The 23,699-nt window shown below is 39.7% G+C and overlaps 2 protein-coding genes across 47 annotated transcripts in view, besides 4 other annotated features; one reads left to right on the top strand and one right to left on the bottom strand.

The window, feature by feature from the left end:
* Positions 1-23,699, bottom strand: part of SP140 (SP140 nuclear body protein) — a 130,421-nt gene that overhangs the window by 70,025 nt on the left and 36,697 nt on the right. For 15 of the 37 annotated variants that reach the window (XM_006712223.4, XM_047443077.1, NM_007237.5 and 12 more), the window contains exons 1-7: positions 20,644-20,811; positions 9,287-9,464; positions 8,166-8,334; positions 5,060-5,143; positions 2,736-2,816; positions 1,467-1,559; positions 607-684 (exon numbers count right to left, since the gene is read on the bottom strand). In XM_006712223.4, coding sequence (XP_006712286.1) covers positions 607-684; positions 1,467-1,559; positions 2,736-2,816; positions 5,060-5,143; positions 8,166-8,334; positions 9,287-9,464; positions 20,644-20,702 — 742 coding nt within the window. In that variant the 5' untranslated portion in view covers positions 20,703-20,811. Of the gene's footprint in view, positions 1-606; positions 685-1,466; positions 1,560-2,735; positions 2,817-5,059; positions 5,144-7,468; positions 7,787-8,165; positions 8,335-9,286; positions 9,465-11,471; positions 11,610-20,643; positions 20,812-23,699 lie in introns of those variants that run through there. The other 22 variants (XM_005246252.3, XM_047443072.1, XM_017003239.2 and 19 more) reach the window with 6 other exon arrangements.
* Positions 20,222-20,271: an enhancer, noted in NCBI's record as "active region_17215". NCBI's record gives its function as "activates an Ori minimal core promoter by ATAC-STARR-seq in GM12878 lymphoblastoid cells {active_cell/tissue: GM12878}" and the evidence as "EXISTENCE:reporter gene assay evidence [ECO:0000049][PMID:35858748]".
* Positions 20,292-20,371: an enhancer, noted in NCBI's record as "active region_17214". NCBI's record gives its function as "activates an Ori minimal core promoter by ATAC-STARR-seq in GM12878 lymphoblastoid cells {active_cell/tissue: GM12878}" and the evidence as "EXISTENCE:reporter gene assay evidence [ECO:0000049][PMID:35858748]".
* Positions 20,442-20,491: an enhancer, noted in NCBI's record as "active region_17213". NCBI's record gives its function as "activates an Ori minimal core promoter by ATAC-STARR-seq in GM12878 lymphoblastoid cells {active_cell/tissue: GM12878}" and the evidence as "EXISTENCE:reporter gene assay evidence [ECO:0000049][PMID:35858748]".
* Positions 20,722-20,931: an enhancer, noted in NCBI's record as "active region_17212". NCBI's record gives its function as "activates an Ori minimal core promoter by ATAC-STARR-seq in GM12878 lymphoblastoid cells {active_cell/tissue: GM12878}" and the evidence as "EXISTENCE:reporter gene assay evidence [ECO:0000049][PMID:35858748]".
* SP110 (SP110 nuclear body protein) overlaps positions 20,911-23,699 on the top strand; it is a 60,451-nt gene continuing 57,662 nt past the window's right edge. For 9 of the 10 annotated variants that reach the window (XM_024452850.2, XM_011511090.4, NM_001378446.1 and 6 more), the window contains exon 1: positions 20,911-21,012. The gene's annotated coding sequence lies outside the window, so the exon portion shown is untranslated. Of the gene's footprint in view, positions 21,013-22,264; positions 22,444-23,699 lie in introns of all 10 variants that reach the window. The other variant, XM_017003968.3, reaches the window with a different exon arrangement.

The following is a 23,699-nucleotide window of genomic DNA, read 5'->3' as shown; positions in this document are numbered from 1 at the left end:
CAACAGTCTTTCACTGAGTTTTCTATATTGCAATATACTCATTATATCCATGCTGTTGGCATAACCTCGAGAAAATAAGTTGAAAATTATCTCCCCTTCCTTATAACCCAATGTGGTAATATTACCCAAATGTTACCCAATGTGGTAATATTACCCAAATGTTACCCAACGTGGTAATATTTGGATCCCACAACTATTGAGGTAAAACTGGCAATCACTCAGATCTCTCTTTATTTAACGATTCAAACTATATTTTTCTTTCTCTCTCTCTTTCCCTATGTCCTATATGCAGGAAAGCCCCAACCAGTCTGAGCTCATCCTTCTTTTGCTACTTGTGCCTCTTAAGGAAAGCAGGAAGAAGCTGGACATAGACTGTCTCTGTCTGTATGTGGGGAGGGATGCATGGATTGATGGATGGCTGGATGGATGGATGGACAGATGAATATACAGATGGATGGATGGATATATGGATGGATGGATGAATGGATGGATGGATGGATATATGGATGAATACATGAATAGATGGGGGAATGGGAAGGGAGATGAAAGAGTAGGTGTTTTTGTATGTTGACAGAAAAATAAAGCTTTAATTTAAATCCTAATTACCTTCTGTATCATAAGGCAGTAACTTGGGCATTTCTTCTGATTCTCCTTCATCTATTTGTATAGCAAGTTTACAGGACACTGCAGAGTGAAAGAGGAACATGACAGACAATTGGCAGTGACCTGGACACCTACCTGGATCCATGCTGAGCTCTAATATTCGGGTGTAGAACTGCTCCCTGGGAATAAAGGTATCTTTGCACCAAACAAAAGTGGCTCTACTTCTTCTAGCACCTTGTCAGGCCCCTTTCCCCTCTCTCCCTCTCTCTCCTTCTTTTTTCTCCCTCTAACCCTGTCTTTACACATTGCTGCATCTGCACCATAAACCAACTCCAGGATCTCTTTGACTTGACTTCCTCTCCCTGACTTCTACCATTTCTTTGCATTTCTGTCTCTTTCTTCCTTCGTGATGTTTGTTACCTCTTTGCCCCGTTATATCCCTATTCATTCTTCTAACTTTGTCACTTCCACTTTGTCTCTTCTATATACAGTATTTCATTATTCCTAAATAATCCCTGGCAAGTAAGTTTAAAATTCTCTCTCTTTTCTCAAACCCCATCCTGGTAGGATTTAGATTCAATATTCATGTAGATAAAATTGGGCCCACTTAGGCAACACCATTTGGTGCCTCCAATCAGAGTAATTTTTATTACTCTGTACCCTTAAGCTCTCTGCCCAGGAGCCCCTCCACTAAAGGACTTAGCCGTCCTTTACCTCTTGCCTCCCACACACCTGGGGAAAACAACCACAGGCTGAACAAAAGTGTGTTACAGGGTTGGTGGTGGAGAGAGAAGGAAGTGTTGGTTGCATAGAGATAGGCCAACTAATTTAATGAGATAATTGGTCATTTAAATCATAATTACCTCCCCCACCTGGTAGTAGGCTGGGTGCATCTTCAGCATCTCCTCCACCAGCCTTTGGGAGAGCTAACTGCTCACAAGACTCTGAAGAGAAACCTGGAAATAAACAAGGCACAGTGATGAGAGCACAGACCTCAGGATGCTCCTGCTGAATCCTGGTGTTCAGCACTCAAGTGAGCTTCTCCTTGCAAAAAAACACTATTGCTCCAAGGACCTCGCCTGAGCCCCGCCACAGCCTTGCTCTGCCTGTTTTCCTTCTGATCATCTCTCTGCTACCTCCTTTCTCCTTCTCACTTTTTGGTTACCACACACTCTTGCTTCTACGCCATGAAGCACCGTCCATCTCCTTGACTCCCTGGGATTCCCTCTCTTTTTCTTTTCTGTTGCTCTTCAATGCCCTCCATCACATTTTCCTACTTGTGTCTCCATTTTTCTTTCTGGTTCTCTTCTTCTGGATTTCTTGCATCCCACATGGCAGATTCCAATCTTACCGTTTCTCTCTGCTTTTCCCTGCTCTGGCCATGGAAATGCTTTTGCTGAATAAGAGTCTCCTTGCACCAGGCCCTGGCCCACTCCCCTAAGAACCTGCAGGCCTCCTTGGGTCTCCTGTGTGAACTCCAATCCATGACCCTGGCTACCCTGATCTCTGCCAAATTCACACAACCATCACCGCAGTGAGTCAGCAGGGATGTGGGTCATGTTCTTGCTTGACTAATTTGACCTGGTAAAAGACCTTACACATTGCTATGCTTCTACTTCTACTTTATTTAGCTATAAAATACAAATAAGCAAAAGTTTATCCATCAAAATTCATAAGCTGTGGAGATAAAATGACATCTTGTTTGCCAAAATTCTTTGAACAATAACTAGATAAGATAGTAACACAATGGAAAATATTTGGCAAAAATTATCATTTAGTTTTTCGAGTAGTTGGTCTGATGGAACATGTTTCTTTTGAAGGCTTTCTATAGTAAGGGACAAAATAATAATAGTAACAAACAATAATCGTTTTTATTCTCTAGAGAAAGTAAGTGGTGGGTAGGTATAATCAAGTTTTTATTATTAGTAGACATGAAAGACATCATCCTTCTCTAGCATATTTCTACTATAACATACACTTAGGAAAATTTAGCAGAATTATAGGATCCAAGGACAAAATGGATCTTTTGCCTGTGGCATGTACTCAGAGTAAAATGCATTAGGAAACACCAGCTCTGAATTCCACCTCCTGACACCCTGCAGGTCAGGGAGAGCAAGTCACTCCTTCCTTACCTGGCTCACACCTTGGCGAGGAGCTCAAGGCTTCCTGAGGCACTGCTATATCATCCATTTCATGACAGGCATTGCTGTTCTCTGCCGAAAGGAATGAAATCCCTTAGATGTCTTGATTTATGGTCAAAAAGCCATCAAAACAAGAAAACAAATAATGAGAAAACTAAGAAAACCTGATAATCTGGAAGGTCCCCTCTCCCCAAACAACCTGACCTGAGGATTCAGTCCTTCAGTAACCTTCACCAGAGGCTGAGAATAATTCATCCACTGTGGGGGAGTCTTCCTTTCCTTATACCTTGTTCTCTTTCCCATTTTCTCACTCATGTCTTTCCACCTGTTTCTGTACATTTCCTCAATCTCTGCCTCTGTTTTTTTCTGCGGATGTTTCTTGGAGCCTCTCTTTCCTAGATGCATTTCTCTCTTCTCTGCTCCTGCAAATTTTTTCTCTTGCTTTCTCTGATACTGCTCTTTCTCTCCCATCCTTGGTCTCCCAATTGTGCCTTTCTAGCTTTCTCTAAAGAAAGACCTCCCTTTGATCATATATTCTAAGTAGGATTTAGCTGGATTGGAGAAGGGTAAATGGAGGATAGTGGGACAGGAAAACAATTCTAAATAAGGCAGCATAGAGAAAACATAGGGAAAGGCTCAGTTTGAAAGAGAGATTTAACAATTGAAATTATTGGGGGAAATTTTATTCCACCTTGAAGTAATATTTCAGGAGGCAGGGATTAAGCTGGAGAAGTAAGCAGGTGGCTCATTGTGGATGCCTTTGGATGCTACTTAAAAACCCATTTATTTAATCCTTAGTGTATTAAGGAGGTAAGTAGGAAAATGATACAATCTGATGTGCACTTTAAAATATCCCATCTAGTTGAAGTGCAAATAACACATTTGATGGAAGCAAGATTAGAGGGAGGAGATGAGCAAAGGATGTTGCCCTGAGAATCATGAGGGTGATGGAGATCTGGACCAGAGACCTGGTCTTGGGGATGCAAAGATGGACAGGCCAGGGGCAACCTGAAGATGAAATGATTACATTGGCTGCATAACTGGCATGTATTTGAGGGCAAGGGAGGAGTCATCCATGATGACTTGACTAGGTTTCCAACTTGAAAAACCATGGGATAATAGTGATCCGTCTCTGAGAGAAAGAGTGCTGCAGAGGAGTTCGATCTAACTTGAGCAATGAAGATGTGGCTTTCAGTTCTCAAAGTACCAAGTTTAAGGTTCTTGAAAAAAATCAAGTGTAGATGTCTATCTGACCCTTGAGTAAAGGTCCTCAGGTCCATGAATAAATGTACTCTAAAGATAATTTAGAGTGGAGATTTGTGCTTGGGAATCATTGGACTATTCTGGGAGAGATCTATTGAAATCTGAGTATCATGCAAGTGCCACTTTGATGTGGGAACAGTTCATTCTGAAAACTTACGGTTAATGGAATAAACCCTTGTAAAGTTATGGATATCCAGTGCTCTTACCTCAAACCTACACTGTCCCAGTCTGTTTCTCTCTCCCTTTTATCCACTTTTCACTCTCAAGTGTTTTACACCCTTTTTTTCTTAACTCTTTATCTACATAGTTGCCTCTGTACCTCTCTACTTTCCCCATTTCTTGGTATTTATTTTCCTCTCATCTTTCCTTTTCCATATACTTCTCTCTCCATTTTTACCTCTGATCCTTGGCAGATGTTTCGGTTTACCTTTTCTCTGCTGTGTCTTATACTTCCTCTCTTTCCATTTCTGTTTCTCCCATTTCACTTTGATCTTCTATCTGCCAACACTATTTCAGTTTTGTCTCCCTGCGCAATTCTATCTTTCAGGCTCCCCTCTCTCTCCATATCCAAACTCCCCTCTTGGACTGTGACCACAGTACTAGAGACCCCTAACTGGTCATCTCCGTAAGGAATATCTCTCACCTGAATCTGATATGGCTTAGGTTATTTCTGAGTTTCTCTTAATAGTTCTATGAAATTAATTAAAAATAATCCCCTTATCTCAACCTCGGAGGGTAGGACTTTTATGTTCCTTTAGAAGATGGAATCCATTCATGTAATTTGTCCTGTATTATTCTCTGTCTACCTTTCCCATTTTCTCTTCTTATATTCTCCACCAATGGAGACTCCATCTATTCAAGAGATCAGATCTCCTTTTTCATTGGTTCTCTCACATCTGTTGGCAGATAAGGGCAGGTACATGGCTGTGTGAGGGGAGGAGGACTGGGAGATAACAGAGGGCTAAGACAGGAGAGGAAATACAAGATTTGCCTCCATGAAGGCAAGGAAGCAAAACTTTAATAAGGGCATTGATCAGCTAAATGATAGTTACCTTGTTTACCATATGGTAGTAATCTGGGTCTATCTTCTAAATCGTTTACATTATTCATTTGGAGAGGTGAGTGTTCATAGCATACTGAGGAAAACAATGTGAAAATTACCAAACTCAGACAGTGACCAGAGGAGAGACCTCAGTGTGCTCAAGATGAACTTGATGTCCAAGCCCCAGGATCTCCCACCCCCGAGGTCCAACAGAGCCTTGTTCCCCTTTTTTTCATTGAGAGGCACATATCTTAAGTGTAAATCATTGTGAAACCAACATCCCAGTCAAGATTCAGAACATTTCCACCATCCCAGAAAATTGCTTTGTGCTTAAGACACCACTGTTCTGGTTCCTATCACCAGCAATGGCGCCTTCCTTTCTGGCACTGTACTTGTCTGTATTGTCTGTACTTGTACTTATATAAATAGGATCATGCAGTATGTACTCTTACAACTTGCTTATTTTGCTCAACATAATGTTTTTGAGATTTATCCATGTTGCTCTATGTGATAACAGTTCATTCTTTTTATTGCTGAATAGTATTATACTCTATAAATTAGTCATAGTTTATCTACCCTCCGTTGATGAGCATTTGGGTTGGTTCCAGATTTTAGTTATTATGAATAAGGCTGCCATAAACATTCTTAAACAAATCTTTGCATGAACATATTTTCATTTCTCTCATGTAAATACCTAGGAGTGAAACTGCCAAGATCATAGGTTAGATTTAACTTTATAGGAAATTGCCAGGCACTTTCCCAAAGTGGTCGTTATCATTTTACATTCCTACCAGCAAGGGATGGGAGGTCCAATTGTTCCATATTCTCATCAGCACTTGGTATTGTCAGTCTTTTTAATTTTAGCAATTCTAGTGAGTGAATGATATCTCACTATAACTTTAATTTGCATTTCCCTCATGATTAATAATGTCATACACTTTATATTCTTGCTGGACATTTTATATCTCCTGTCTTGAAATGTCTGTTCAAATCGTTTGTCCATTTTTTGAATTGGTGATGTGTCCTTTTATTATTCATTTATAGGAGTTCTTCATATTTTGTGAGTACAATCCTTTGTTAGATATGTGTATTGCAAAATATTGTCTCCCAGTCTATGGCTTGTTTTTTCCTTTTCTTAATGGTGACTTTGGATGCATAGTTTTTAATTTGTTGACATCTAACTTACCAAGTTTTTCTTTTATGATCCATGTTTTTTTGTGTCCTGTATAGCAAATTACTGCCTACTCTCAGTTTGCAAACACACTGTCTTATGTTTTCTCTTTTAGCAGCTTTATACTTGTAGTCTTAACTTCTAGATTTGTGATCCAACTTGAATTATTTTTTTGTGGATGTTGTGTAGTATAAGTAGAGGTTTATTTTTTCTTTTTTCAATCTTTTTACAATTCATTCTACTTCTGCCCATTTCTCACATTTCTACTCATAGTCTGAGGCAGTGGGCAGTCGTGAGCCTCAGGTACCTGTCACCCAAACACAGGAAGTGCCAGATACTAACATATGAGATGTGGATGCTGGGGCCAGGAGGATCCCCACAGTCCACAGACAGAATCAGAGCCCCTGAGATGTGGGCAGTAGAAGTAACATCATTCCCTTCATTGCCACAGCCTGGAACACCCTGGTTAAAATACAAATATTGACTCAAAATTTGTGCCTAGGTACAGTTGGCTTGGGATCTGTGGATTCACCCACCCTCAGATTAAAAACGTGGGACAAAAGTTAAAGATAATAACAGGCCAGGCATGGTGGCTCATGTCTGTAATCCCAGCATTTGGGGAAGCCAAGGCAGGCAGATCACCTGAGGTCGGGGGTTCAAGACCAGCCTTGCCAACATGGCGAAACCCTGTCTCTACTAAAAATACAAAAGAATTAACCGGGTGTGGTGGTGGGTGACTGTAATCCCAGATACTCAGGAGGCTGAGGCAGGAAAATCACTTGAACCCAGGAGGTGGAGGTTGCAGTAGCCAAGATCACACCACTGCACTCCAGCCTGGGTGACAGAGTGAACTCCATCTCAATAAATAAATAAATAAAATAACAATACAAAAATTAAAAATAATCAAATGAAAAATACAATTTAACAACTATTTACATAGCATTTACATTGTATTAGGTATTGTAATCTAGAGATGATTTAAAGTATACTGGTGCAATGTGCATAGGTTATACACAAATACTACGCCATTTTATATAAGGGACTTAAGCATTCAGGACTGAGAGTGGTGGGTATTCCTGAAACCAATCCCTCATGGATACCAAAGGAGGCATGCACAGTATTTGACTTCCTCTAGACCTTTCTCTGACTTGGATGTATCATAATATGAAAACAAGATACCTCTTTTTTGAATCAAGGTATAGTATTCACAAATCAACACATCCCATTCTTCATACTGACTTCTTTTACTTTTCCCGTTTAAATGCCCTTTATTCCTTCTTTATTTTCCAAAAATTAAACTCCAGATTCCTTAGCACAGGGTGTCAAGCCTTCCAGAATCCACTTCAACTTCTTTCTCCAGAGTCAGCTCTCACACCCTGCCTCCCACAGTCTGCAATTCAACCACATGGTTCGGAAAGGCCCCCACCAACCCCCTTTTCTGTCTTCATAGCTTTCACATGCAGCTCCTCCTCAGTGTACCAGTATGTGCTAGGCTCTCTTCGTGACTTCTCCAGTCTTTGTTTGGAGAAACAAGTTGACACAGGACTGCACTGGATGATAAATTTTCTAATACAAAGAAAATTGTTTTATCTTTGAACATATCTGCAAATATCAGAGAAGGCTTCCTCCTTTCCCATGAAAAGACATCACTCATGTATTCCTTCAAAAAAATAGAGACTTCAACCCTATGTTTTACAGCATCAAAATCAAGTCCTGGCTGAGCAACCATTTGCAGGATTACTTGGTTAACGTCTGTCACTCCCACTGTATGTAAACTCCATAAGGACATGGGACATGTGTGTTTTTTCATCATTATATTCCCCCTGGGCTTGGCATGTAATAGTCACTCAGTCAAATATTTGTCAAATATGAATGAAGAGTGAATGAATGAATCAATGAATGAAATGGGCTTGAATCCCCCAAAGCTGTTGAGAGCTATAGTTACCATTCTGGAAGCTTCTGTAAATCTCGTTTAAATCAGGATAGGCCATCAGGTTAATCCTGCTGAACAATGCTTCCAGATGTGACCAGCCAAATGTCTTCTCCAGTTCACTGAGTACACAATACATCACTCTTGTCACTGGGACCAGGTTTCTAAAAGCTTCTTGAAAATGCTTAAAAATATTAAATGGAGAATTATGTAGCTAGAGATTTATGGGTTACAAAAGACTTTTAGGTTGTAGATAGAACATCTGTTCTCTTGTGAAATGTTAGAATTTTGCGTATATTTGGATGACTTCTTAAATGTCCTCCACCATAAAAATACACTCTAATTTTTTGAACCTGACTCTCTGACATTGTTGTACACTTAAGGGGAGAGAGTAATTTTAAATAATAAGTGTGGGTTCAAAGTTGAATGTTGTGTATGGCTTTAGAGCCTGGCCAGGTTATTTCAGGAGTGGCCTTAACAAGGCTGTTCTGTTGCATGGACAATAACCACTACTAGGATTGGCCTGGCCTGACGAGCTCCAGGAAACCAATCAACCAGCCCCCACTATGACTCCTGGCCAAAGGGCACAGAAAATTCACAAAGACAAGAAGAAGCCTTGTCCTCAGTATCCCTAAGGGCATCCACTGCTAACATTAACTTGCATTCTAGGGCTCTAGAAATGTCCAAAGATCAAACAATGATTTGGAGAGACAGTAGCAAGCATCCACTTCCAAATGTAACCTAAAATGACACAACTTCACTGTGAGTTTCAAAAAAATCTCAGTTTCAAGTGTTTCAAATAAGTAGGCTTTGGAATAAAATGCTGCCTAGGTCACTTATTTATTTTAATTATGGCTACCATTAGTAGATTGTTTACAAGTACCTAGGATGATCTGCACCCATACAGCATTCCCATTCTCTCTCCTGCCCCACCTCCCTCACTGTGGCCCTCCCCCAACATTTACTACAGAAGAAGGGAGGTTTTCTGTGATGCCTGCTTCTCCTGTCACCTCCTAACCTACAGAATGGTGAAGGTCCCCACTCACAGGAGGCCCTTTAGCCTGCTCATTGCATCTTGAAGTTTGGCATAATTGAGTATGGACCTGGTTTATCATCATTTGGAAATTCTTACTTACTTCATACATCTGCTCGGAGATGAAGGAGCGGTCTCGGAGGCCCATAAGGAAAGGAAATGGCCTTGTTATTGCACTTGCAATCTCCACCTTGTTTTCTCTGAAGAACCTGAAAATGGGCTCAGGGCAAACCTGCTCCTGCAGGTTCTGACCCTCTACGTTCTGGATCTCTGCGACCATCCTAAGAAACAAAGATACAACGTGGAAGTAGACACTGAGTTTCCAAGAGGTTTGTGGTGGTTAGAAGATTTTAGACATGAAGGATGGCCAATGGAGAGCCAACATGTATAAAATAAGCATTCTTGTAGGGAGACCAGAATGAATGGAATTTATTTATTTTGGGAAAAATCAAGGTGGAAAAGATGAAAACAGTGAACTTAAGAAAGACCTGTACATAGAAGTAAAAAGGCTCACCCTGTTCCAATCAAACTATTATAAAGAGACCTTCACCTGAACTCTCTAGGGAAAATATGCAATTAAAAGATGTCAAAATCTTTATAGGAATTGACATGATACTGTGGTAATTAATTTTATATGCCAACTTTGAGGGTGTTTTTGGATAAGATTAACATTTACATTGGTGAATTTGGAGTAGGGCAGATTGCCTTCCATAATGTGGGTGGGGCTTGCCCAACCAATTGAAAGCCTGAATAGAACCAAAAGACTAGTGTCCCCAAGAAAGAAAGAATCCTCTAGTAGACTGCATTCAGACTGGAGCTGCACCATCAGCTCTCCTGGGTCTCCAAACAGCAGGCCCACACTACAGATTTTGGACTTGCCAGCCTTCATAATTGCAAGAGCCAATTCCTTATAACAAATCTCTTTCTCTGTATATACACATCCTATTGGTTCTGTTTCTCTGGAGAACTTTAACTTACAGAGAAAGAAATAAAAATCTGGCTGAGATATTACAGAACCTAACACTGAACTGCAAGTCTTCTTAGTTAACAACAAAGAGAGGAAATCTCAGGAGATGTAAAGGAGATGTATCTCCTCCATCTGTAACTGCAAAAGGAGGGTGGCATTCTGCATCATAAAATTGGTTCAAAGACTCTCATCTGGTAAGGTTTGATTAAGAATACACAAGAAGGCCGGGCGCGGTGGCTCACGCCTGTAATCCCAGCACTTTGGGAGGCCGAGACAGGCGGATCACAAGGTCAGGAGATCGAGACCATCCTGGCTAACATGGTGAAACCTGTCTCTACTAAAAATACAAAAAATTAGCCGGGCATGGTGGCAGGTGCCTGTAGTCCCAGCTACTCGAGAGGCTGAGACAGGAGAATGGCGTGAACCCAGGAGGCGGAGCTTGCAGTGAGCTGAGATCGTGCCACTGCACTCCAGCCTGAGTGACAGAGGCAAGACTCCATCTCAAAAAAAAAAAAAAAAAAAAAAAAACAGTCACAAGAAAATCACTCTTTCTCTGGTCCAACATGGAGATTTGTGTGGATATGCAAAACTAGGACACATTAATCTGTCTAAACTTGGAGACCTCTGGATTTCAGACATTAAGGCTGTGCCTGGGAAACTAATTTTTAATCACAAAAGTTTGTAGTTCTGATTCCTACTTGCTAAATTGTTCCCCTTGCTAATAGGCCTTAACAAATTTATCTGTATTTCTAAACGGTATGAAGACTTCCAGGATTTTTTTTATCCCACCAGGAAATGGTCATTGGGACTTTCCATTCCTTAAACATGCATCAGGATAGAATAGAGGATCACTAAAATTTCCCATTCTCCAGACATGCACCATTTATCCATTGAATTCTTTTAAAAAAGAAAAAGCCTTCTGGTTTAAAATCGTTGATTAATGACAACTGTTTTTCTCCTCTTTCACTAGAATATCTCCTAAAATGACAGTAAAGGAATTAAAGTTACAATGATGAAGAGAAAGGAATTAGATGAGAAATTTTAACCTAAGTATGAAAGAGAAAAAGTGGTCTGAGGGGTACTCATTGCTATTGAAGGTGGAGGATGCTTCCTGAGGTCAGAAAAGGATCCAGCGTGTCCTGCAGCCTCCCAGAGATGCAGTGGTGGTTGAGAAGGAGATGCAGAGATGAAAATCGAGAGATTGTTCCAAAGGCAAAATTAAAAACAGTTTGCTCTACGACACAGAACACCCACAATCAGGCAGAAGACTGGAGGTTTCCTCTTAAGAAAAATATAAATGACTCAGAGAAAAGGCCTTTACCTTCAGGGATTTGGTATTTGCTCAGTGAAGCCCACAAGTTTGCAAGCCCATCTCATTAAATGGAGTTTCAAGTTTACTTTTCAGCATCTTGCTGGTAAGCATGAACAGACTACAACAGACCACAGCATTTGTGGAAACCTACAACATTAAGGAGTAAAACCAAGATAAGCAAAAGGCAAAAAATTACCCTAGCGGAAATACAGATGTTTCAGGGAACAAAAAAGAATTTCTAAACAACAAATATTATCACACAGAAAGAGAATATATTGTACCAAAAATTCCATGCAGAAAAGAAACAACCAGAAAATAAAACGACCTTGGAAATTCAAAATGATTGTGAAATTTTTAAAAAGTGAATGAAAATTTTTATAAGATAAAGGAGGGAGAATTTCCCAGAACATATGGGGAAAAGCCCTAAAGGGAAAAATAAGTGAATTTGAAACCCTAAATGTCTAAAGCAATGATGCAAACCTATAAACCTAGAGGTAAGAGGAAACTACTAAAAAAAGTGTATACCCATTCAGTTCTTGAGAATGGGTCCAAAAAAATTAAAATGGAAAAATGTATACCTTATTCAATGATTCACGTATGAGGGCAGAATCAATACTTAGATAGACAAGGACTCAAAGAATATTTTGCTCATGCACCTTCTGTGTTGGTCACACATTTTTCAATGTTCTTTTCTTCTGGGCCAAGGTAAGATTGTACCTCCCTTGGAGCAATGGGTATCACTCTGGCAGAAGAGCTCAGAGGCAGCACCTGGTTAGGCATGCTCTCTGTTCCTCTACCACAGTGACTGTCATTTCAGATGGGGTGGCTGCTCCTCAGCCAGAGACAGAGTCCAGGATGAGGGTCCTCTGTGCAGAGGGCTGGTGACCCGTTGAGATTTGGGAATTGTTTGTTCCTATAGATCACCCTACTCCATTTTTACTGACACTGTGTAGGACGAATTATTTGATGATGTACTACATTAACAGAATCAAGAAATCAGTATCAGTAAAGCCTTATTGTAGAGGAACTGGAAGCATCATTAAAACCAGTTACAATACTGATGTCTCAAATGTATAAATTATCTTAGAACAGTAATTCTCAAAGTGGGGTTAGGGACCCCCTAGGATTGTGCAAGACCCTTTCAGGTGTCACCAAGTAAAACTCTTCACATAATAACATATTATTTTCCCTTTATCTTTCTCATTCTCTCATGAATATACAATGAAATTTTTCAGAGGCTAAATGGCCTGTGATGTCACAACGGATTGAATGCAGAAGCAGATAGGAGGGTCTAGCTGCCTTCTACTTATATTTAAAAGACGTATAAAAATGTAAAGCAATGCTAATCCTCTGGCTAATTTATTTCTATTTTGAAAAGTTTTATTATTTTTCATAAAAACACATCACATATTCACGGGTAATAAATTCACTACTATTATTTCTAAATGAATAAATACATATTTTAAGTGTTCAAAGTTTTAATTTCTAATATCGTAAATAGCAACAGATATAACCCAATAAACAAAAGCCAGTTCTTTGGGGTTCTCGATAATTTTTAAAAATATAAAAATATCCTGAACCCAAATACTTGAGAAGCACTGTTCTAAAAAGAGAGGATATATACTGCATATAATAAAATTATAGTAATTTCAATCTTAAACTTTAGATTCTATTTTAATGTTTTTTTTGTTTTGTTTTGAGACGGAATCTCGCTCTGTCACCCAGGCTGGAGTGCAGTGGTGCGATATCTTGGTAAAGTTTTTTAAATTGAGTGAGGACAAGTAAAAAATTGAGTTAAGTAACTTATTTCAAATACAAATTCAAATGATATAGTTATAAATTTGATGGTCTCAGTTAGAGAAATATACATTAAAGAATTAATTAGAAACCCAAGTGTAACAAATAGAGTCAAAATGAGGCTACAAACTTTACAAAATAATGAGAAAGAAAAACATGCTCTTTTTCTTATAGAAAATAAAGAGGCATAAAATATAAAAATAAAAAATCCATAAGCAACAAGATATTTAAAACAGATTAAGCTACCATCTTAAATTATAAATGGTCAAAATAGAATCTAACTACAAGAGACATAACAGAGATAAAATAACATTAAAAATGTTAACAGTCAAAAGATGGATAAGTTTCATTAAGCAAATACAAATGAGAAAGAAGGTAAAATTCTCAATACTCACATTTAAAAAGTAAGATTAAAGATTACTAATGGGGAAATCTTTCAAGGCTGTTAAAAAACATCTTACTTCCAGTCCTTAGCTTCTCAAGTAGATAAAAATAAAAGAACAAAGATACACAAAATGTAAGTTTTAAAAACTGGCAAAATTGATTTTTAATAACACTGTGTTAAACACACAAGATCATACCAGGTATTTGGCCCTGAAGTAATTTCAATAAATAATAATGAAGAGAAATTGAACAGGTTACATGCTCTGGCTATAAGATAATACTATAATAAAACCAAAATTTAAAACAAAAAGAAAGTTTGTCTTAAGAAAAAAGTCTAAACTTCAAAAATGTAAAAGTTCACTAGACCTCTGGTTTCAGCTTCAACACGCAAAGACATTGGAAGTCATCGCTCCCATCCTCACAACAACAACAACAACCCTGCTGAACAAACTATGAATTAACAACTTTTCTTCTATCTCTCAAATAACCAAAGTCACAAGGCAAACTGCCCCAAAATCTGGAGATACAGGCAAATCCAGAGAATTAGCCGAGATCAACTATCTGAGGCAGCAGGCACTGAAGTCATAGCCTGGTATGTTTGATGAATTGCTGGAGGCTGAGTGTGGAGGAGCATGAGCATGAGAAACTCCTGGGGGTCATCATCTCAGGGCAGGCCCCCAACCTTTTATGGATTTTACCTCCACAAACCCCAAGAAAAATCTCTTTATCCTTCTGGCAAGAAGAGGGAAAAGAAAAGTTTTTAAAAAGCCAAAGCATTCTCCATGACAAGGGCCTGCTCTCCAGGGAAAATGCTTTAACCATTCTAGGGGAAGGGTGACTACCAAAATCTAGCCCCTTCTGGCCATCTTGTCACTTCTAAAAAGGGTGGAGGTGAGGCTGGGCACGGTGGCTCACACCTGTAATCCCAGCATTTTGGGAGACTGAGACGGGTGGATCACAAAGCCAGGAGTTTGAGACCAGCCTGGCCAACATGGTGAAACCCCGTCTCTACTAAAAACACAAAAGAAAATTAGCTGGGCATGGTGGCAGGCACCTGTAATCTCTGCTACTCAGGAGGCAGAGGCAGGAGAATCACTTGAACCTAGGAGGCAGAAGTTGCAGTGAGCCGAGACCACGCCACTGCACTATAGCCTGGGCAACAAAGCAAGACTCCATCTCAAAAAAATTGAAAAAAAAGGGTGGAGGGAGAAATTCTTTTAAAAGTAATAGCCCAAGGTGCAGTTCCATTAAAAGATCGAGATGTAATCATAAGATTATAGACCACTTCCCCCTCTGACACGTTACCATTCCATCAACAGGGTTCCTGTATAATAAGAGCAGATTACAGCTGGAAGAACTACAAGAAACAGACTATTTAAAAAGGAGTTCTCAGAGAAACCCAGAGAAAGCAGGGGAAAGAAAAACAAGAACGCTAGAGGAATTTGACACCTCTGCCACCTACAGCTAGAACAAACATTAGATATGGCCCATTTCCTACCCAGATTAATATAAAACCTCACATTGAAGGCTTATTTGCCTCAGTTCCTATTACCTGACTTATCATGTCTGACTTAAAAAAAAAATTATAAGACATGCCAAAAGGCAAGAAGTAACACAGTGTGAAGAGACAAAGTAATCATCAAAACCAGACTCAGATATGATGGATTTTCAAGTTTTTAGACAGAAATTTAAAATAACTATGGTTAGTTAATATGTTAAGGGCTCTAAAGAAAAAAGCACACAATACGCATGAACAGATGGTTAAGTGAGCAGAAAGATGACAACTCAAAGACATAATGAAAAATGAAATGCTAGAAATGAAAAACAATGTAACAGAAATGAAGAATACCTTTGATGAGTTCATCAGTAGCCTGGACATGGCCAAGGAAAGAATCAGTGAATTGAAGATATGTCAAAAGAAACTTCTCAAATAGAAATGCAAAGAGGAAAAAAAAAGGAAAAAACAAAACAGAACACAATATCCAAGAATGCTGGAATAATTTCAGAAAGTGTGACAAATATGTAATTGGAATACGAGAAGGAGAAGAAAGAGAAAATAGAGCAGAAGAAATATTCAAGTAGTGATAGCCAAGAATTTTCCAAAAGTAATGACAGACAACAAACCACAGATTCAGGAAACTCATCAAACACCAAGCTGCATAAATATCAAATGATCTAGACTTAGACATATTGAAACCACCTTTGCAAAAATCATGACAGTGAGAGGAATCTAAATTAACTGACTCCATCTTGCTTCTAACCTCACAAGCTGTCCTTGCTCATTCCTGGGTGTATGCCAAGCTAACAATGAGAAGAATTTAGTTTATAGTTTAACTTTAAAACAAAGATTATAACAATCCCTTCCCAAAACTTACCCCCTCCTTGCTCTGGGACCAAAACCACTTTTGTAAAACTAACAAATTGGATACAAGATTAGAATTATGGTTCAGGAGTCATGTAGCTGGAGGTCACATGATCCATAACCACCGCAATTGCTCCTATAGATAACTTCAGTATTGTAAAACCTAAGACTGGGGTTTGAGGTATTTTTCAGACCTTGCATTCTAATGGAACAGCTAATACCACAGGATTGGTAACCAGGTCCTGTGACCCCTACCCAGGAAATGACTCAGCACAAGAACACAGCTTCAACCCCCTGTGATTTCATTCCCAACCTAAGCAATCAGCACTTCCCTGTTCCCCAGCCCCCTGTCTGCCTAACTATCCTTTAAAAAGCCTAGTCTCTGAATTCTTGGGGAGATGGATTTCAGAAACATCTCCCGCTTGGCTGGCCCTGCGATTATTAAATTCTCTCTCTCCTGCAACTCCTACTATTCTCAATGTGTGGCTTTTCTGGGCAATGGACAAGAAGAGTCTAGTTTGGCAATTACAATTTTATATTCAAACTGCAGAATACGAAAGACAGAGAAAATATTGAAAAAAGCCAGGGGGTAGGGAAAAAAAACAAAAAACCCCTACCTGTGAAAGAACAAGGATAAAATTACATCAGATTTCTCATTAAAAACCATGCAAGCAAAGAAAGTGGAAAGAAATATTTAAAGTGATGAAAGAAAAAAAAAGCCTATGTAGGCTTCCATATCCTGTGAAATTAACCTTCCAAGTAAAGTAGAAATAAAGATTTTCTCAAACAAACAAAAACTGAGGAAATTCTTTGCCAGAAAGCCTACTCCATGTGAAAATGTTAAAAGAATTTCTTGACCATCCTGGCTAACATGGTGAAATCCCGTCTCTACTAAAAATACAAAAAATTAGCCAGGCGTGGTGGTGGGCGCCTGTAGTCCCAGCTACTCAGGAGGCTGAGGCAGGAGAATGGCGTGAACCCAGGAGGCGGAGTGTGCAGAGAGCCGAGATTGCACCACTGTACTCCAGCCTGGGCAACAGAGTGAGACTCCATCTCAAAAAAAAAAAAAAAAAAAAAAAAAAAAAGAATTTCTTCATGCAAAGGGAAAAATGATGTGGGCCAGAAACTCAGATTTACATAGAGAAAGAAAGAGCACCAGAGAAGAAATAAATGCAGATATAATAAAATGTTTTCATTTTTCCTACTCCAAGTTAACCTAAAATGAAGCCATTTATTCAAATTAATAGAATCAACAACATATTGAGTGGTTATGGGACATAAATAAATGGAATGACTGGAAGCCCTCCTGTTCTTTTTAACATTGTCAGTCATTTCACAATGTTAAAAAGAACAGGAGGGCAGAATTTGGGACATTCAGTTGCATGGTGTATTCTCTACTCATGAAGTGATATAGTGTAATTTAAAATGGGCATGATTCGCTGTAAATATATATTACAAACTTCAGGGAACCACTAAAAATGTTTTAAAGGAAGTATAATTGATATGCTAAGAAGGGAGAGAAAATAGAAGCATAAAATGCTCAATTAAACCAGAAAAGGCAGGAAAAAAGGAAGAAAAGATAAAAACGATAGGTACAATGAAACATTTACAAATGTGGTAGATATTAATCTAACTATATTAATAATCACTTTAATGCCAATGGTCTAAAACACCAATTAAAAGACAAGAGATCAACAGAGTACATAAAAAACACAAAACACCCGACTATATGTTGTCTATAAGAAAGTCATTGTAAATATAAAAATACAGATAGGTTAAACATAAAGGGATGGAGCAAGATATACCATGCCAACACTAATCAAAGAAAAGGTATAGTAGCTATATCAATTTCAGACAAAGAAGCTTCAGAACAAGGAAAATTGTCAGGGATTAAAGAGGGACATTACATTATGATAAAAGGGTCAATTCTCCAAGAAGGTACACAATCCTTAATGTGTATGCAACTAACAAACTAATGGCAAAATGTATGAGGCAAAAACTGATAGAACTATAAAGAGAAATAGACAAATTCACTACTATTATTGAAGGCTTCAACACTTCTTTTTTATTAATTGACATATCACACAGGCAGAAAAATCAGTAAGGGTGTAGTTGACCTGATGAGCAATAGCAATCAGCTTGGTCTAACTGACACTTATACGGTACTCCATTTAACAATAGCAGAATGCATGTACTTTTTAAGCTCACATAGAATATTTGCCAAGATGTACTTCATTTTGGGCCATAAAACATACCTTAACAAATTTAAAAGAATAGAAATCCTAAAAGTTTGTTCTCAGACCATAAACTAGAAATCAGTAACAGAAAAATAGCTGGAAAATTCCAAAATATTTCCAGATTAACCAAAAGAGTTCTAGGGTCAAATAAGAAGTCCTAAAAGAATTTTAAAAATATTTTGAAGTAAATGAAAAGGAAAACAACTTATTAAAATGAATGGGATGCAACAAAAGCAGCACTTAGAAGGAAATGTATAGTATTAAATGCATACAATAGAAAAGAAGAAAGATCTAAGTCAATAATCTAAGCTTTCATCTGAGGAAACTAGAGAAAAAAGGAGCAATTTAAGCCTGATGCAAGCAGGAAAAAAAATTAAAATTAAAGTGGAAGTTAAAAAAATTGAAACAGGAAAACATTCGAGAAACTTAATGAAACCAAAAGCTGATTTTCTTTTCAAAGAGTTAATTAATAAACCTCTAGCCAGCCTAACAAAGAAAAAAATAGAGAAGACGGAAATCATCAGAATGAAAGAAGGGTCATCACTACGAATTCCATGGACAATGGAAAGGTAATAAAGGAAAACTATGGACTCTACACCTACAAATTTGGTCACAGATGAAATGAACAAATTCTTTAAGAGGCAAACTAACCAAAACTTGCACAAGAGATAGGTTGTCTGAATAGGCCTACATCTATTAAAGAAATTTGAATCGATAATTAATAGCCCTCCAGAAAGGAAAGTACTAGGCCCAGATGGTATCACTAGCTAATCCTACCAGATATTTAAGGAAGAAATGACATCATCCTCCCCAATTTCCTCCAAAAATAAGAGCAGAGGCAACACTTCCTAACTCATTCTTTGAGGTTAGCATTAGCCCATTGTCACCTCTCAGTGCCGTCTTCTTCCTGCTTGGTGACCATGGGCTGGCTGGACTTTGAGCTCCGCTGGCTCATCTTCCCTTCACTAGAGAGCAAGTGAAAGAGAGATGACAGGGATGCCTGTCTGGGAGTGGTGGCACTGGGCACTGAAAACCAGTCTGGTGCCACCACTACTGCTGATAATAGCAATAGCTTTTGCTTTCTTGGGGCTGTACCAGCGCCAGAAGTAGCCTTAGCACAGAGTCCCAATTAGACAAGTTTCCATACATTTTTACATTCCACACATTTTCATTTTTATCAAGAATGTACAGTCATCCCTTGGTATCCAGGGGGAATTGGTTCCAGGACCCTCCATGGATACCAAAATCCATGGATGCTCAAGTCCCTGATATAAAAGGTGTAGTATTTACATATAACCTATGCACATCCTCCTGTATATTTTAAATCATCTCTAGACTTATAATACCTAATACAATGTAAATGCTATACAAATAGTTATACTGTATTTTAAATTTTTATATTACTTTTTATTGTTGTTATTTATGTTTTTAATTTTTAGAAAATATTTTGCATTCATGGTTGGTTAGATCCATGGATACAGAATCCACAGATAAGAAGAAATGACCGTATTGATGTACTTGTCTTTTTTTTTTTTTTTTTTTGAGATGGAATTTCACTCTTGTTGCCCAGGCTAAAGTGTAATGGTGTGATCTTGGCTCGCCAAAACCTCTGCCTCCCTGGTTCAAGCGATTATCCTGCCTCAGCCTCCTGAGTAGCTGGAATTACAGGCATACACCATGACACCCAGCTAATTTTGTATTTTTAGTAAAGACAGGGTTTCTCCACGTTGGTCAGACTGGTCTCATTGTCTTACATTTTTTAAAGATGATTTCCAGGCTTCTCTGACCAGATATGTAAAAAATACCAGAACAGAAGAATAAAAAAAGCAGAAGCAGCACTCACTCTCTACCTGCTTGCCTTTTTTGTTGGGTCTCATCTGCTTTCACTTCCTCCTACCAAGTATTCAGAGATCCTGAAGTGATTCTAGGGCTAAGAGCCACATAGATGGGCTCAGAGCAGAACCGGTCCCCAACTACACAGCCTGGAAAGTGTGACAACAGACAGGCGTTTGGATTTTAATTCTTCTAAAAAGATCCTTTTTAGACAGAGTTGTCTTTTGGAGTGGGGATAAAGGAGGCCTGGGGGAGAAGAGAGGGTTCAGAGGTCACGGGGAATCATCCAATCCTACACAAAGCCTCAGAACAGGCATGATGTTCAAACAGCTCCAGTCCAGCCATTTGCAGATGTAAGAGAATAGGAAGATGATGTGAGTCACGGCATCCTTGAGTTTCTCCAACAGCCAATCCCTGCAATTTAAAAAATCTGATTGCCTCGTTATTTATTTGTAACTGAATTCTATTGTATACCTGTAGAGTGAAGCTGGGTAGACATTAAATAACAAGTATGAAAGGGAACCCTACCAGAGATGAAGGACAGACGGGAAAGGAGACGATGACCCACCTGAAGTTGAGATTGCTGTCTCCACTTGCCATCTGCCCCTGCTGGCCCTGCTGGGCCATGAGCTTGGCCTAGGATCACACCCGATTCGATTTTCACTGCCCCGTTCCTTCCTGCAGCTCTGAGGTGAAGCTGCCAACTGCCCCTCGGTGCTCAGTCAAAGAGGAAAAGAAAAGTGAAATTGCCTAACTAGCTGACGTGGGTGCACCAACTCTACAGTCCTCCCTCCACCCAATCTCCATGACGTCTCTCAGTCAAGGGAGGAGGAGCAGAGCCAGCCCCACGAGGCCACGGAAGACAGGGTCACTTGTTCCTGCCAAGGAAAGAGGGTGGAAAAGTCATTCAACTCAAGCAGATCAAAGTTGTTTTGAGGTAAGGTGGCATCATGAGGAGGAAGTAAACTCTGTATTTGTCCCCACCCCTTGCTGAGGTGGCTGAGAAGGACAAGTGAAGACCAGACATTTCAAATCTTCAGTCAGGCTCCAGGGCTGGCCATGCACCTTAGTGAGCCTGGGCTGGATGGCTTAGGCCCAGTGTTTGGACATGGGGCCAGGGAGAACTGAAATAGCATGCATTAGAAAGTGGGGGAGATGCTCTTAGCACTCCATGAAAGCAGACAGAGGTAAAAGACAACTCTCTCAACTCCTCCAGCCAAAGGCAAGTGCTGAGGTTGGGCAGAGAAATGAGGTGCAATTCTAAGTTTTCTCAAATATGTGGGCACTTTACAACAGCAGCCAGGGGTGACTGGGAAAAAAATGAGCTTCAACCATTTCACTGAAATCTTGAGGAGAGTGACAGCCTTCTCACTGGATGGGGAAAGGGTTTGGAGCTGAGATTATCTAGACCTTCAAGGACAATATGATACAGGAGGATAGCTGTATTACATTTATGTTTGCACACAATTTTTCATTTATACCCAGCCCTCATTCTGTAAAGGATTTGAAACAATTTACAAAAACACACTATATCAGCATAAAGTCGAGTGATAAACAAATGGAAGCAAAGGGCAAATATAAAAAATATAACCACAGGACTAGAAATCCAGGCAGAAAAATGGGTCAAAGACAGGGGGCTGATGAGAGCCAGGGTATGGGTAGAATCCAGGGCCAGTGACAGAACAGTAGTGAGGATTGAAAAGCCAGAGGCAAAGCAGTATTTTTCCAAAACATGTGCTCCTGAATCCTACTTTTTCTGGTTCATTACACATATGCAAGGAAATTTGCATACATAAGTTTGCAAAATACAGAGTGCAAGAAATTTCTACCCCTTCCACACTTCTGCTTTCTTTCTACCAAAGGAACAAACACCAATCTGGTTGAGACAAACTCTAGAACACTGATGAGGACACCTTTTCCAGTATCTCTCTCTCTCTCCTCTCTCTCTCTCTCTCTGTCCTCTCTCTCCTCTGTCTCCCTCTCTCTCCCTCTCTCTCCCTCCCTCTCCCTCCCTCTCCCTCTCTCTCCCTCCCTCTCCCTCCCTCTTTAAAACAAGAAGGAAAAGTATGCTGGGCTTCTGTTAGACACAGCTGTCCTCTCCTCCCAGTCTCCATGGGGCTCCAACAAGGCCTGGTACAGACTATACCGCCTGCTCCAGCATCCCCTCTCTCTCTTCTCTCTGCCCTTAGGCAGTAGGCAGACCCAGGACACCAATGAACTGGACATTTTTGAAAATGTGCCAGCTTCTTTTGCTTATAAGCACAAGGCCATTGGTGTTCCTCAGCTGACTGGTGGTAAGATTGGTACTTCAGGGGTACTGCTGCTACTACTAGAAAGCCCTACTTTGCAACACCATGCATTAGCCCAGGTAAGGATAGCCTGAAATTTCAGTTCTATTTCCCACTATCTTGTTTTTCCCTATGCTCACTACAGAACCTCTCCTGGGTAAGGGATTCCTGGGCCAGGCATATGTAGGACCATCAGACCATCTCTGGTTCCCAATGTCTTCCTTTACTGCCACGTGACCAGTGGAGTCAGAAGGCTCCGGCCTGCCTCCTGGCTCTGTTCCCCCATCCAGATTTAGGCCAAGTAGGTCATAATCCCCAAAGGTAAATCAATGCTTTCATTCTACCTGGAAGATTTCTCTTCATTTTGCTAAGCATGCTAGAATCTGACACCTGGAATTGGGGAAATGAATTGTATAGAGTCTTGATCACAATCCAGTGCTGTAATTTAATTTGCCAACTTACCCCTATTTGCCCACAACTCCAAAATTCCTGACTCTGAACGCTAATGGGGATGTTCACTGTTTTTATGTCCAATTATGTCAGATAACCAATCCCAGATTGATCATATTTCCTTGAATATCTCTTGCCTATAATTCAACCTCTGGTGCCCAACATTTTTATCAGTCAGGATTTGGGAGTAAAAGTAATCCAAACTGACTCTGGCTAACTCAGGCAAAAAGTCAATTTCTTAGAACTATATTGGGTAGCTCACAGAATGTATGGGAAAGCCAGAGGACTAGGTTAAGAAAGTAGGCAGTCCAGGCAGGTTATATTGACTCACTTGCCCTTTGTCATAATATAGTTGAAAGATATCTGGATCACCTGGACATCCCATAGAATGTCAGACTGGGCTGGGCATGGTGGCTCATGCCTATAACCCCAGCACTTCGGGAGGCTGAGGCAGGCAGATCACGAGGTCAGGAGATCAAGACCATCCTGGCCAACATGGTGAAACCCCATCTCTACTAAAAATACAAAAATTAGCCAGGTATGGTGATGCGTGCCTGTAGTCCCAGCTACTCAGGAGGCTGAGGAAAGAGAATCACTTGAACCTGGGAGGCGGAGGTTGCAGTGAGCCAAGATTGCGCCACAGCACTCTAGCCTGGAGACAGACCGTGACTCTGTCTCAAAAAAAAAAAAAAAAGTCAGACTGATTGATGACATCATGCTGATCAGACAGGATGAGCAGGATCTTGGTGGCTAGCATACCTGCTAAAGAAGAATAAATTACTGACCCACAACAACAGAGATGAATCTCAAAAGCATGATGATGAGGAAAAGAAAGCCATACACCAAAAATGCATTCCATGTGCCTTCATTGATAAAAAAAAAAAAA

Source organism: Homo sapiens, chromosome 2 (assembly GCF_000001405.40).
Source record: "Homo sapiens chromosome 2, GRCh38.p14 Primary Assembly".
NCBI classification, from domain to species: Eukaryota; Metazoa; Chordata; class Mammalia; order Primates; family Hominidae; genus Homo; species Homo sapiens.
The sequence above is the reverse complement of the archived record's forward strand: the minus strand, read 5'-3'. Positions and strand labels throughout refer to the sequence as shown.